Source organism: Homo sapiens, chromosome 3, assembly GCF_000001405.40.
Source record: "Homo sapiens chromosome 3, GRCh38.p14 Primary Assembly".
NCBI lineage: Eukaryota > Metazoa > Chordata > Mammalia > Primates > Hominidae > Homo > Homo sapiens.
Genome location: NC_000003.12, coordinates 190,398,157 through 190,413,347, shown reverse-complemented (window position 1 = coordinate 190,413,347; position 15,191 = coordinate 190,398,157). Strand labels below are relative to the sequence as shown.

Below are 15,191 nucleotides of genomic sequence, written 5' to 3'. Positions count from 1 at the left end.
ATATATATTCCATATATATATGTATATATATTCTCTGTGTGTGTATATATACATACACACACCCACAGAAATATTGAGGGGTAAGCTCACCAACTTTCTAATCCAGTGAACAATTTTAGCATTTAAACTAAGAGTAAATTAACCACGTATTAGGTCTCCAGGTATGCTGTCACATCATCTATGTTGTATTCTACAAACTATTTAGCTTGATTCCATCTAGTCTTTAGATTTAAACTTCCATTACTGAAAATACAAGGCATTGAGAAATTAAGCTACATGACATCCCCAGACAAATCCAGAAGGTGGAACAAAGCGTACAAAAACTGGTCCTGCTGTTTTAACAAGTCAAGATCAGTGGGAAAAAAGTGTAACTTGATTAAGAGAGACTTAAGGGACTTAACAAAATGAAAGGCAGATCCTTGTTTTGACAAAGTAGCTGTGCAGAATGTTTTTAAATGTTTGAAGAAATTTAAACATAGACTAGGTATTAGATGTGAAATGTATTGCTTACCATAAATCAGAGGTAGTTAAATAAGAAAAAACGTAAATATAAAGCAACATATGAAATGATCTCTTCAAAAAGAGATACATATTTATATGAATGTGTCTTTATGGGTATGTGCATAAATAGAGAATATGTGGGAGGCTGTGTAGAGATTCAATAAAGTTTTAGGAGTAGTGATGTCCCAGGTAGAGAGAATTTGGTGATAATGTTGCCTTGGTATTTAAATAAGATATATTTTTGAATCTTTGTGTTTTTTACACAAAGATTTTACAATGCACATATACAGATTTTATAATAATGAAAGGTAATTTTAATTTAAAAATTTGATCTTAGAAAGTAGTTAATGAAGGGGTGGATAAATAGCATTGTCCAATTTTTAAAATTTTTTCTTTTCTTATATTGCAATTAGTAGCCATGCCTAAATAGTAGTACCCAGTATTTAGTGAGCTATTTTAATGTTTCAATCTAATAATCTTACCTGTATATGCCTTTGGATTATATCACTTTTTTCTTTCTTGCCCTGTTACATCACAACCTGTCAATAATTACAGCTTCATCATTTAATATTTGTTTTGTTGTTCACTAGTTGCCATACAAAACATAGTCTTCTTTATGCTTTATTTTGGGAAGCGTCATTAAATTACAATGAATTAGAAATGAATGTTTCAAATAAATTAAAAAAACAAATCTTGACATTCCTCCCATTACATACAAAATGTTTTAATTGAGAAAAAAATTCAAAACAGTCACACATATCCATTATCATCATGGTTCTCTGAAATATTTTCTTATACAAATGAAATATTTAAAATGGAAAAATTACATTTTTCAAATCTAATTAACTAATTATTTTTGTCCTGCCTTTCCCCACAAGGATTTCAAGACACTTATTGGAATACATAAAGCATGACAGACAATAGTATAAAATAAAAATGGGAATAAATGTTAAAAACAAATATTGAGAGGAACAACACAAAATTAATTTTAAAATGCATAGAACAATGATCAAATAACTAATGAGTATGATTTGCAAATATTTTTAAAGTAAATTACAGTTAATAAAAATGAGATAGTTAAATCAATTGCTGTTAATTCTCCAACTAGATTGGAACTGCTTCAGAGAATACTGTTAAAGATACTCTGGGAAGTAATAAACAGCAATCTCGAAACGTTAATTCATGTAGTAGGAATCATAATCTCATTTTCACATCATTCTTTGTTCTTTAAATTTGAAACACTTATTTCAAGGTCTTTAGAAATTCACAACTTAATTTCTTTTTTTTCAAAGAACTAATTTCTGGGTGAGTTGATATTCTTTTCAGGTTGATATTCTTTTCAGGTACTGCAAGGGTACCATAAAGGTACTAATGTTATTAATGTGACTGACAAGTAATTAGAAAACTGGAAATTAAATTTTACAAACATTTTTAAAATCGCTACAATTAAAAAAATTCAAGATGGTTACATTATGAATATGAATGAAATGTCATTAGCGACTTCGTTAAATGTATATGTAATTCTATATTTTCCCCAAAACCCACATTTTATGAAGAATATTTATTTATTTATTTATTTTTGTTTTTTGAGATGGAGTCTCGCTCTGTTGCCAGACTGGAGTGCAATGGTGCGATCTCCGCTCACTGCAACCTCCACCTCCTGGGTTCAAACGATTCTCCTGCCTCAGCCTCCCGAGTAGCTGGGACTACAGGCACCGCCACCACGCCCGGCTAATTTTTGTATTTTTAGTAGAGACAGGGTTTCACCATGTTAGCCAGGATGGTCTCCGTCTCTTGACCTCGTGATCCACCCGCCTTGGCCTCCCAAAGTGCGGGGATTACAGACGCGAGCTACCGTGCCCAGCCGCAACATTGATTTTTTAAGTAAAGTCGTGAACGTTTATTTATTTATATCAAAATATATTTGTTGAATTTTGCCATATGTCTAATATATTGCTTGGTGCTGATGATTCAGTGGTGTGTGGGCACTTGAATTGATGAATTTTAACATAGTATATTACAATAGTATTTGGATGTTTAATCAATAAATGAGTAAATTCTCTGGTTGAACTATTCTGTAGTCTAATCATTTGGCAATATATCAGCAAAGCTAGAATAGTGGTGAAATAATATGGAGATCCCTTATGTTGTTAGTGAGGTAGAAAGTCACCACGAGCTCCAGTATCAATTTAGCATTTGCCTTTGACATTTGGGGGTGGGGGGGCAGCTCTTGTCTTTAACTCTCACCAGTGGCTGGTATACGAAGTTGTTATTTCCTTTTTCTGTTTTAATATAATCAGAGTAATGGTAGGCATTGACATACTAGTTTGAATTTAAAAGAATAATCTTCCTCAAAATTATCAAATAATTCACCCACTTGTTAAAAGTACAAAAAGTGAACCAAAAGCCAGGGAGAAAAGTAAGTTTCTTCATCTCTTCAAAGATTAGGGTCCCTGGCCTCTTTGGAAATTGCTTTCTGTTTAAGTATCATTTCATTTTAATATTACTATGTCATAATCTCTAATAGCTATATAGAAATCACAAACAAATATTTCTACATCCTAGCAGACTTATCTTAAAATATAGGGAAAGTGTGTGCATAAGGTGGAAGGTTAGCAGAGAGAATGACGGGAAAATATAAGAGTAATAGAAAGAAAAAGTATAGGAGAATCAAACATTTTGATTAAGCTAGCAATTAATTTAATTCAATATGAATTCTAAATAACTGTTCCTGGATTGACTTACTATTTTATCAATGTAACCATACTGATTGATTAAATCATATGCAAACACACCCTGAAACGTGCATTTTACACCCTTGTGTCTACAGCATACATTTTGGCCGTCTCTGTGCGAGGGGCTGAGTATGACTTGGCCATGGAAACACCCGCGGCTGAATAGGCTTTCCTCAAGGAATAAGGATAGTTTCTCTCAGGTCCAACATCTGTTTGAAAGAAATATAAAAATAAGTAGAACTCAGTGAACTTGGGAAAATTATAAAATACCATTTTATATGTTCTTCCTCAAAAGGAACAAGAATATAGATACTCAAAGAAGGTATCATTTTGGAACTCTAAGAAGAATCCTAGAAGACAATTTAAGATTTTCATTCTGAAAGTTTCTTTTAGGTTTAAAATTCAGCCAAGTAGATTTCCTGTTATTTTTTTTTTCTTCATCAGGAGAGGTATTCCCTTAGTTTTTTAGGTGATATTTTTAGAAACCCAACATAACATGTTAAATTCTTTAAAAAGAAGTATTTGGCTGGATCTTAGTCCACTTCTCAGTTTAACACTAAATATACATTTAGTTGAGTGGGTGAAGATATATATGCATGTATAATTGTAATACATCAAAATATATATATATAGAAAATTCACAACTACAACCATGTCCAATATTCAAATGTATAATAGTTATTTTAATGTATTACAATTATATGTATATCTACATATATGCATACAATTATAAAGGTATAATTGTATATATAGACACACATATATGTATAATTCTAATATACATATACATGTGTGCATATATACATACATATACATGTGTGCATATATACATACATATACATGTGTGCATATATACATGCATATACGTGTGTGCATATATACATGCATATACGTGTGTGCATATATACATGCATATACGTGTGTGTATATATACATGCATATACATGGGTGTATTCCTACCTGTTACCATTAAAAATTCCAATTACCATTAAAAATTCCAATTGTTCAAGGGCAACTGAATTACAATACTCAAACATTATTACCAAGTTAGTGTTACATTAATTGAAAAAATCCACAACTACAACTATGTCCAATATTCAAATGTACAATAGTTATTTTGATGTATTACAATTATACATATATGTATACATATACATATATGCATATACATATGTGTATATGTGTATACATATGTACTATGTATACGTATATATACAAGGGTATATATACAGTATGTATATATAGTATATATACTATATGTGTATATATATGTATATAGTATATATACATATATAGTATATATACGGTATGTATATGTGTGTATATATGTATATATGTATAATTGTAATACATCAAGATAACTATTATACATTTGAATATTGGACATGCTTGTAGTTGTGGATTTTATTTTTCAATTAATATAGAACTAACTGGGTAATAATGTTTGAGTATTACAATTCAATTGCCCTTGAACAATTGGAATTTTTAATGGCAATAGGTAGGAATTCAAATAAATAACATTTTTTTCCTTTTGAAATTTGTTTCCACTGGATTGGGAAAAACGATAGTGGAGGCAAGGAAATTTGCTATTTTATTTTATTCTTACCTTTAAAAAGATATAAGCAGCAGGTGAGAACAGCTCCAGCCAAAAAGCAACCCAGAGACCCAGCCATTCCGAGCCAACAGGACCAACCAAATTTATATTGGATACCAAGAAATATATTGTGCAAAACCAAAGTAGAACGTTCCACATACACATCAACAGCATACCACACAGAGCCAATGATTCCTGGGGTACCTGAAAGAAAGGGAGGATGCTACAAATAATAGGGGACATTTTCTGAATTTAAATCCAAAAATACCTGCTTACTACACAAAATGGCTGGCGTGATTCAGAGAGGTAAAAACAGTAACATGGATTCATGGGCAACCCGAACTTCGGACACTTCTTCTGTCTCTTCCTTTTGCCTTCCATCTTGTATCTTTTTTAAATTTTATCTCAGTTTATACATAAAGAAAATGCAAAAATGAAATAACACAGTGCTTATCTGTGTAAATCGAAATTCATCGTTATGGTTTTCTTTGATTCTCCTGTCTTTCCAATGCCATGTTAGTATTGTATAAAGGAAAATACTAAAACAAAACCAAACAAAACAGAAAAAGAATGTAGTCTAACACAAACAACATAGAGCATATGTTCATTCTGTAATGATTTTTAAATTGTGAGTAAATATCATTGTATTTAATGCTCCCTGTACCCCCTTTTGAAGCTATGCCAGCTACGTAATCAGCACCCATGTGAAAACTGTTTTTAAAGTCACTGATTTCAGTGTCTTGAGGTCAAACACAAATAATTGAAGTAAAAAATGTTTTTATTTTCAAATAAATCTTTATCTACTACCCTCACACCATATAAGAATGGACCAAGAAATGTTATTCCCTTTAAATACATCTCCACAGCTTAGCCTCTCTGACAATTAACTGGTTTGAAATGACGCCACTAGTGTCCTGTTATTTTAAAGGTATAAATTGCATGTTGAAGCCTAGATGCAATAAGAAATGTGGTGAGTTGGAGGACAAAACACTGAATTAAAAGAGTGTTTTTAAAATATGTACTCTCCACATGCTCAATGCCTAGCAGAAGGCAATTACAAGAAATCAGTAATCTATATGTTGTCTAAGTCTGCTTGAGTTGGATTTTCAGTTATTTACTTGTAAATGTATGCTTACTGATATCCTGAAGCTGTATCAACGTTAGTGTTAAGATCTTGCCCACCAACACCCAAATAACTGGATCCTACTTTTCCTTCATTTCAAAGTTCTGCTACTCTGTGCTAAGTTAGATGCATGTGTTCACAAACAATCTCTTCAGATTACTTTCCAGAGTTGTTTTACTGTCTAATGAGAGAAATATTTGTCTTTCCCAAATCTAAAAAAATAAAATAAAATATGTAGTCTCCAAAAAATTTTACATTTTTTTCCCTAGATAGTCTGTGATATCTATTTAAATCACTATTTAACTGTATTCTTCTCCTAATTGTTTAATGTAAGAACTTTAAGAAGGAGCAGATAGGCCGGGCACATTGGCTCACACCTGTAATCCCAGCGCTTTGGGGGGCCGAGGCGGGCGGATCACGAGGTCAAGAGATTGAGACCATCCTGGCCAACATGGTGAAACCCCTTCTCTACTAAAAATACAAAAAGTAGCCAGGCGTGGTGGTGGGCGCCTGTAGTCCCAGCTACTTGGGAGGCTGAGGCAGGAGAATGGCGTGAACCCAGGAGGTGGAGCTTGCAGTGAGCCGAGATCACGCCACTGCACTCCAGCCTGGGCGACAGAGCGAGACTCCATCTCAAAAAAAAAAAAAAAAAAAAGCCAGATAATAAACACATAACCTTTAGAAAACGCAGTATATATTGCAATAGCATTGCTATAATGCCATTATCTGCAGTTTTCAGTTAGAAATTCCCTTTCTAAACCTTCAAAACAGATTATAGACTTTAAAAATAAATTTTATAGCACACTAATTCTAAAGTTTCCAAAGCTTAGGACATGCTTTGTCTTTCAATTTAGTTATTTCTTCAGTCATTCCTATCAGGATTTTCTTCAGTGACTTATTTTTTAAATGCTATTTGTTTTGTTGTTTTACATAAGATGGGTTATTTACTGATGATAGCTCAAAAATATTCTCGAACAAAATTATATAGCCGTAAATAATTAGATTAAATAATGTTTAAATCTGTTAAATGAATTACATTGTATATTAAAAAGTTCTATGCTGTCAGTAGGTGGGATAATTAAATAAATGACTTACAGAAGGGAAGAATTCTAAATTTTTGTAACTTTATAATACAATCTGAGGATTATTAGGACGTTGACTTAACATTTCTGTGTCAAAAGTCAGGGAGGCCCAAGTTCTGAGCATACAAAGGGTTAGGCAGTCAGCTAACAGTTTGCTGTGCCCACATTGCATCTTCACCATAGCAATTCAGGCTACATGTTACTACCTTAGCCTCATGCCTCTTTGCAGATCAGGAAACAGAGACACGGGTGAATATATCACACATACATATCTACAAGTGTTTCTAGTTCCAAACTCCATATCGATGTACTACCCCACACTGCCTGGTCAGGCTGCCACTTATATTCGCTTTGTTAGCAGACAAGATTTTTCCTGCTAACAGACAAGAAGAAGACATTATGTTGCAAAAGAAGAGGACTAAGCTTTGAAGTTGAAGACAGACCTGAATAAAGTATCATTTTTGCTGTTTCACTAATAAATACTACTTAAAGTGCTTTTTGATATGTTGTTTATTAGTCATGCTTGACTAATAAATATGCTTGACCAGTCCTCAGAACTTCAATTATTTATCTGCATCTTAAGTGAGGATAACAATATGATCTGTTTATTGTTACATTTATGAACAAATGGGTTAGTACGTGGGACAAGTTTAACATAGGACTTGGCACAATTGTTAGTTTATTGTTAAAAAGAATTGGTGGAGTTGGTGGTGGTGGGTATAGGTAAGGAGGTAGAAGTTTGGGGCTTACTTTAGGATTTTAACTTCAGTAATAATCACAAGATAAATTATTTTAAAAATTGAAGTTATGTAACTTTTTAAATGGCCAAAACATAGTTTTAGAGCTTTTTTTTTTCTTTATTTCCTTTTTTTTTTTTTTTTTTTCCGTGAGACGGAGTCTTGCTCTGTTGCCCAGGCTGGAGTGCAGTGGCGCGATCTCTGCTCACTGCAACCTCCGCCTCCTGGGTTCGAGCGATTCTCCTGCCTCAGCCCCGCCGAGTAGCTGGGACTACAGGTGTGCACCACCATGCCTGGATTTGTATTTTTAGTGGGGATAGGGTTTCACCATGATGGCCAGCTGGTTTCAAACTCCTGGCCTCAAGTGATCTGCCTGCCTTGGCCTCCCAAAGTGCTGGGAATATAGGCATAAGCCACCACACCCGGCCTGAGAGCTTCATATTTTGTTCTGAGATATTAACAAAAGACTAATTAGCTGACTTCAAAGCTAAAGTATGCAGGGCTGGTAGAAGTGACCTTTAGTTTTTCAATCTAGAAAGGGAAGCCACATATAATCCGAAAATGAGCAGCTTCAGCACAACTCTCTCCTTCACCTCAAGCCCTTAGCAGAGTCTCCCTACCCCTGTTGCTAGTCCAGCCAGACCGGTACCTGCTATTAGTAACGTGGCTCCAGCAACAAAGCAGATGCGGACTTTAATGTACGGCTCATCAGGGAGGAATTTCACGCAGTCAAGACCAAGGAGCAGGGTGAGAAATCCAAACCCAGCTAGAATATCTGCAGTAATCATCAACGCTCGAGTTACCACCAGCTTCACTGGAAGACCAGGGCATATGGTTAAAGCAGAGTCAGAAGAAGGAACCATATTAACTCACAGAGACATAGCAAAAAAAACAGACAAGTAGGTAACATTAACACACCCCTCCGGTAAAAGTCAGACTTTGTATGAACTTGAACATAAGTACCCCTAATGTTTTCATAAAACTAAAAAATATGAGATTATTGACATTATTGCTTGTTTAACCACAGTTCACTACTTAGTTTTGTTGTTGGTATGCTAGCAGAGAGCATCCTGGTAGATAGTGGAAACTAAATAAATGTTTTCCTTTTTGCCTCCTACTCTGGAAAATGTCTCATTCACAAATATTGTAGCCGATTGCTGAATCGAAGGTAGCATATCTGTCCTACAAAAATTTCTTAATAAATATTGAATAAATAATCACTTTAATTTTTTTTTATTTAAAAATAATAATTGGCTAAAATTTGACACAGGGAAGCAGAATAAAATATTTCAAGACTTCTTTTTGCCAGTTCAGGATAGAAGAAGCCATAAGGAGATCTTTAGAAGAAGGAGAGTTAGTTTGTGCTATTAAGTAGAAGGTAATTTCTGGAAATTAGATCATTTTCTCTTTCAGCTATTTAAATCATGACTCTTCTTGGCCAATATTACATATTAGGCCATATGGGTTTTATCTCTTCCAGACGTGACTTATTTCTCTACCCCCATATGTTAATAGGTTACATAGGTCAAAGATGAAAAAGGAACATATTAAATATAAACAGTGGTTTTCTCTACGTAGTGAGCTTATGAGTGATTATATTTTCTTCTTGCATAAATGTATATAACAGTATTTAAAAGTTTTAAATTTTTTTTAATTTTTCATTTTCTTATCAGCTTATGAATTAAAATCCATTTTAATGAATTTTTAGAATAGACAAAATGTCCATTCCTATTCAGCAAATAGTGTTTCTTTGTAGGTAGAACTAGGTTAGCACAGAGAGGGGAAAAGAAAAAGAATTAAGAAAATCCTTTTTAACAAAAATAAAACAAAGACCTTATGAACTATGTTTTTAAAAATGTTCCACGCACCCAACTTTTAAATAGCAGATGAAGAATTTTAGAGTGCTGCTGTTTTTAAGTGCTTTCCTCTGGACTGAAATAGAGGTTCAGGGGAAAAGTCACATTCCAAGGGCTTAATTTTTTATTTATCTTGAGAAAAGAAGTTGCCTTATGGTGCCATCACCCATCATTTGCTTTGAAAGAGACTAAAACCACTTTGCTTTCATAACAGAACAGATGTTTCTTAGCAGGGTTCGATGTTCTTATAAATAAACAAATAAACACTATGGAGAAGGATTGAGAGAATCAACAGTAAGATTTTTAAATTTAAGACATTTCTTTATTCATAGCAACATGGGCTCTGCTGACATGTAACTATAATTTATTTATTTATTATTTTATTTTTGAGATGAAGTCTTGCTCTGTCTCCCAGGCTGGAGTGCAGTGGTGTGATCTCGGCTCACTGTAACCTCTGCCTTCTGGGTTCAAGTGATTCTCCTGCCTCAGTCTCCTGACTAGCTGGAACTACAGGCTCCCACCACCATGATGAGCTAACTTTTTTTGGTAATTTTATTAGGGATGGGGTTTCACCATGTTGGCCAGGCTGGTTTCGAACTCCTGACCTCCAGTGATCCACCCGCCTTGGCCTCCCAAAGTGCTAGGATTACAAGTGTGAGCCACTGCACCTGGCTTTAACTATAATTTAAAGCTAAAAGTAAGGAAGATAAGGGAGCCAGCTTCAATATTGCCTGTAACAGTGCGTCACATGTGTTGGTTTTTTCTTCCACTGATCCCCATAGTCTATGTCTCTCTCTCTGGCTGTCTGCCTCTTTCTGCCTCTGCCACTCTCTCTTTCTTAGCTAACCTTCAACTGAAATAACTGTAAACTTTCTATTTGAACTAAGTCATAGCTTAAAACATCTCTGAAATGCTTTCCCCCTAACCCGTCCAGTTTAATAATGAAATTACAGCACCCTAAAGAGTTTATTTCGATTAAAAAACCATTTACTGTAAGCCTGCTGAGTATGAAGCACTATGCCTGGCCCTCTGAGGGACAGCAGAGATTAATAAGATAATATTTTTCCCTCAATGAATTTACAAATATATGAGAAAAGAGAAAATGTGCTGAAGTATATATTTCAATTCACATTTCCGAGATGAGCTCAATTTCTAACCATTACAAACTGGACCGAACCTTAATATAGTACAATAGAAAACAAAGCACAAAATGGAAACCTGAACTCAGTTTTCTGTCCCTTTCCCTTCCTGGCAAGCAGTGAGCTCTAAGGCATACGTACAGGGATGCTCCGCAAGTATGGAATCGTACTCATCACAGGTGCGAATCCCATCAAAAGCATTTGTGACGCATTCCCACCAGAGGCCTCGGCATTTTGTGCTCACCTAGATGTTAGAGAAGACACCGTGTGAAACAATTCATGCAGGCACAGTTCAGTTCCCCTTGATCAAAAAGAGAAGTTGGTGGTTGTGTTTGATAGCAAAGTAAGTGGTTACACATGTGATCAGAACTTCATTTACAACAAACAATGCGTATTAGAATATTTTCCCTTAAGCACTGACAATTGAAGCCTTTCTGGGCCAGGAAATGAATCCACTTCCTCATGAAGGGTGGGGGTAGAGAAATAAGTCACGTCTGGAAGAGATAAAACCAGAGCTAAATATATTTAAATATCTGTGGCTGCTTCCACCATTGAGTTATGGTTATGGAAAAACATCATTTCATGTCACTGTGCTGACATTTACTCACCAAAAAATATATATATATATAACAATAGATGATAACTGTTGACACCTTGAGTCTATTAAAAATATATATTGTTTCTTTATCACGAATACTGAGTTCCATGAAGAAAAATATTATCTTTATATATGAAGTTTATAAATATAAAATAATTAGCAAAGAAAACCAATAAATGAAAAGATGCCAATAAATAAAATATATAAAGGCCCCAAGTCTTATTTATTGCTCCAATGATATATTATAAATGCTTAAGCTATGTAAAGGATGTAAGCAGATTGAGCATTAATTTCATACAACTTGACGACTGTAATCCATTTTTACTTGGAAATGATGTGCAGATGACTCTAAGAATCCACTTAGAGCTAGAAGGTACCAGTTCCCTGAACCTTCTCATACTTTATCTACAAACCGTAAGTCACAATAGATTTCTTAGAATCGTAAACATGCCAACAGAAAATAGTTTCAGGTGTTCTTGATAGAGCTCACGCATATGGAACAGAGCTAATACAATTGTTTCCTCTGACCCAGTTATGGATTCAAATTACCTTCTGTATCTGGGAATAGTTTAGTAAAGTTTAACTATGAATTATCTTGGAAAATAAAAACTTAATTTTTTCCCCAAGAAAGAATAAATAACAGAGCAGGGTGGGATGAGGAATGCAAAGGAGGGGGTTAAATTGCTGTGGGGAGAAAAAAAAACATAAGAACACTTTGCTTTGGAAAATAAAATAATATTCAGGAATACATGCACTATGAAACTCTCTGCCCCATGCTATTTTTTGAGGCCGTGTTATGTGCCAAATAAAATTCTACTGCTTGCAACTTCATCGCGATTCTGAATGTTTTACCTCTATTACTACTTTATATGTAAAATACTTATAGTTGGTAATAATTATTCAATACAGAGTCTATACCATAAAGCAGTTACTATTTAGCATATTATTATTTTTCTTATTTCTTAAGGGACGTTAAGAGATATTATTTATCATCCATTTTACAAATGAGGAAATTGGGGCACAGGAAAGTTAAGTAACCCCAAGAAAGCATAGTTAATGGAGGAGATAGGACTCAAACACAGCAGTGTGTGGGTGTGCTCCTGAGCATTGCAGTGTGTTTAAAACCCATTCTTTATGATCCAACAAATCTCACTACTGGGCATTTATTCAAAGGAAAGGAAATCAGTATGTGCGCACCTCCATGCTCTTTGTGACACTATTCACAATAGCCAAGACATGGAATCAACCTAGATATCCAACCACAGAGCAATGGGTAAATACAATATGGTATATCTACACAATGGAATACTATTTAACAATTTAAAAAATGAAATTCTTTTATTTAAGTCAGCATGGATGGAACTGAATAATGTTAAATGAAATAAGCCAGGAATAGAAAGTTAAACATTGCATATTTTTACTCATATGTGGAAGCTATAAGAAGTTGATCTCGGTCGGGCACGGTGGCTCACGCCTGTAATCCCAGCACTTTGGGAGGCTGAGGCGGACGGATCAAGAGGTCAGGAGATCGGGATCATCCTGGCTAACATGGTGAAACCCCGTCTCTACTAAAAATACAAAAATTAGCTAGGCGTGGTGGTGCGTGCCTGTAATCCCAGCCACTCGGGAGGCAGGAGCATCGCTTGAACCACTGAGTCGGATGTTGCAGTGAGCCGAGATCGCGCCACTGCACTGCAGCCTGGCGACAGAGCGAGATTCCGTCTAAACAAACAAACAGAAAAAAAAACCTCGAGGTAAAAAATAAGACAGAGGATACTGAAGGCTGGGAAGGGTAGGGGCCAAGGAACAAGGAGAGATTTGTTAAGAGATACAAAATTGCAGCTAGATAAGAGGAATAAGTTCCAGTGTTCTATACCAGTGGTCTTCAACCTTTTTGGCACCAGGGACCGGTTTCGTGCAAGACAATTTTTCCATGGAACCAGTGGGTAGGGGGTTGGGGATGCTTTTGGATGAAACTGTTCCAGCTCAGATCATCAGGCATTAGGTGCTTGTAAGGAGCATGCAACTCAGAACCCTCGCATGTGCAGTTCACAACAGGGTTTGCACTCCTATGAGAATCGAATACTGCCGCTGATCCGACAGAAGGTGGAGCTTCTGTCCACCATTAGGCGGTAATGCTCACTTGCTCACTGCTCACCTCCCACTGCACAGCCCAGTTACTAACAGGCCACGGACTAGTACTGGTCTGTGGCCTGGGGGTTGTGGACCCCTGTTCTATAGCACTCTAGGATGGCTATTGTTAATAATGATATAATTTCAAATAGCTAGAAAAAAGGATATTTAATGTTTCCAACAAAAAATAAATGTTTGAGATGATGGGTATGCTAATTACCCTAATGGGATCACTATACATTATATGTATCAAAACATCACTAGGTACCCCATTTAAGAAGATGCATATGTGCTAAAAAATTGTTTAAACAGTTACAAATGTTTAAAAACAATTTTTTTTGAGGCAGAGTCTCGCTGTTTTCCCCAGGCTGGAGTGCAATGGCGCGATCGGCTCACGGCAACCTCCACCTTCTGGGTTCAAGCGATTCTCCTGCCTCAGCCTCCCGAGTAGATGGGATTACAGGCATGCGCCACCACGCCAGGCTACTTTTTTTTTTTAAGTATTTTTAGTAGAGACGGGGTTTCCCCATGTTGGTCAGGCTGATCTCGAACTCCTGACCTCAGGTGATCCGCCCACCTCGGCCTCCCAAAGTGCTGGGATTACAGGCGTGAGGCACCGTGCCCAGCCTAAAAACATTTTTTTAAAAAGAATTCCAAATCCATTTTAAAATAAAGTAATCCAGAATTGGGTATTGGATGATAGCTTTGGGTGAAGTAAGCCCTAACTTGGATCTCATCCCAAGGCTATTATTCTGCGAACTTCACCTTGGCATGCTCCTCCTTAGGTTTAAGTTGGAAACAATTCTTGGACTTTCTGGAGGATTATCTCATCCTGTGTAACACAGAGATCAAAAAATCTAATGATAAACAGCTATCTTGTGAAATTCAACATATAAATTTCTAAATAATGTGGACGTCTAAATTTATATGTGCATTACACGTAAATTAAATTTATATATGCATTAAATATTAAATATAGATTGAAACTCTTACTATCTATGTTGTAACCTTGGGGAAGATCTTACCTTTTTTGATCCTCAATCTCCTTATCTGTATACGGGAGATAATCATAGGATGGTTATAAGAATTAAAAATTACAAATACACACGCAATATAAATGATATGCTCAATAAATAAAAATAGTGGTAGTAAAGTGCTTAAACATCATAATGACTTGAGTAGTGGCTGTGTTAGGCTTTACTAACTAACCACAGTGAAGGTGGAGAAAGATGGAGGCCCTCAGAAAGATATGTCCACATTCTTACCACCAGTATATGACCTTATTTGGAAAAAGGATCTTTGAAAATGTAACTGAGGACCTTGAGATCATATTGGGTTATACAGGTGGGCTGACAAATTTCATTATAAGAGACACATGCAGGAGAGAAACAGACAAAAGAAAGATGCAATGTGACCTCTGAGGCAGAGACATTGGAGGGATAAAGCTACAAGTCAAGGAATGCCTACAGCCACCAGAAGCTGGAAGAGGCTAAGAACGGATTCTTCCAGAACTTTCAGGGGCAGCGCAGCCTTGCCAACTTCTTGATTATAAGCTTCCAGCCTCCAGAACTGTGAGAGAATAAAGTTATCTTTTGTTAAGCCACCGAGTTTATGGTCATTTGTTACGGCAACTATAGGAAATTAGTATATTAGAGACAGTTTGTACAGAACTGCTATATCATAACAGAAAACA

General features: G+C 35.5%; 1 protein-coding gene across 4 annotated transcripts in view; it reads right to left on the bottom strand.

The window, feature by feature from the left end:
• CLDN16 (claudin 16) overlaps positions 1,210-15,191 on the bottom strand; it is a 121,778-nt gene continuing 107,796 nt past the window's right edge. For all 4 annotated transcript variants that reach the window (NM_001378492.1, NM_001378493.1, XM_047447333.1 and 1 more), the window contains 4 exons: positions 10,909-11,011; positions 8,422-8,586; positions 4,843-5,034; positions 1,210-3,445 (listed from right to left, as the gene is read on the bottom strand). In NM_001378492.1, coding sequence (NP_001365421.1) covers positions 3,312-3,445; positions 4,843-5,034; positions 8,422-8,586; positions 10,909-11,011 — 594 coding nt within the window. In that variant the 3' untranslated portion in view covers positions 1,210-3,311. The remainder of the gene's footprint in view (positions 3,446-4,842; positions 5,035-8,421; positions 8,587-10,908; positions 11,012-15,191) is intronic.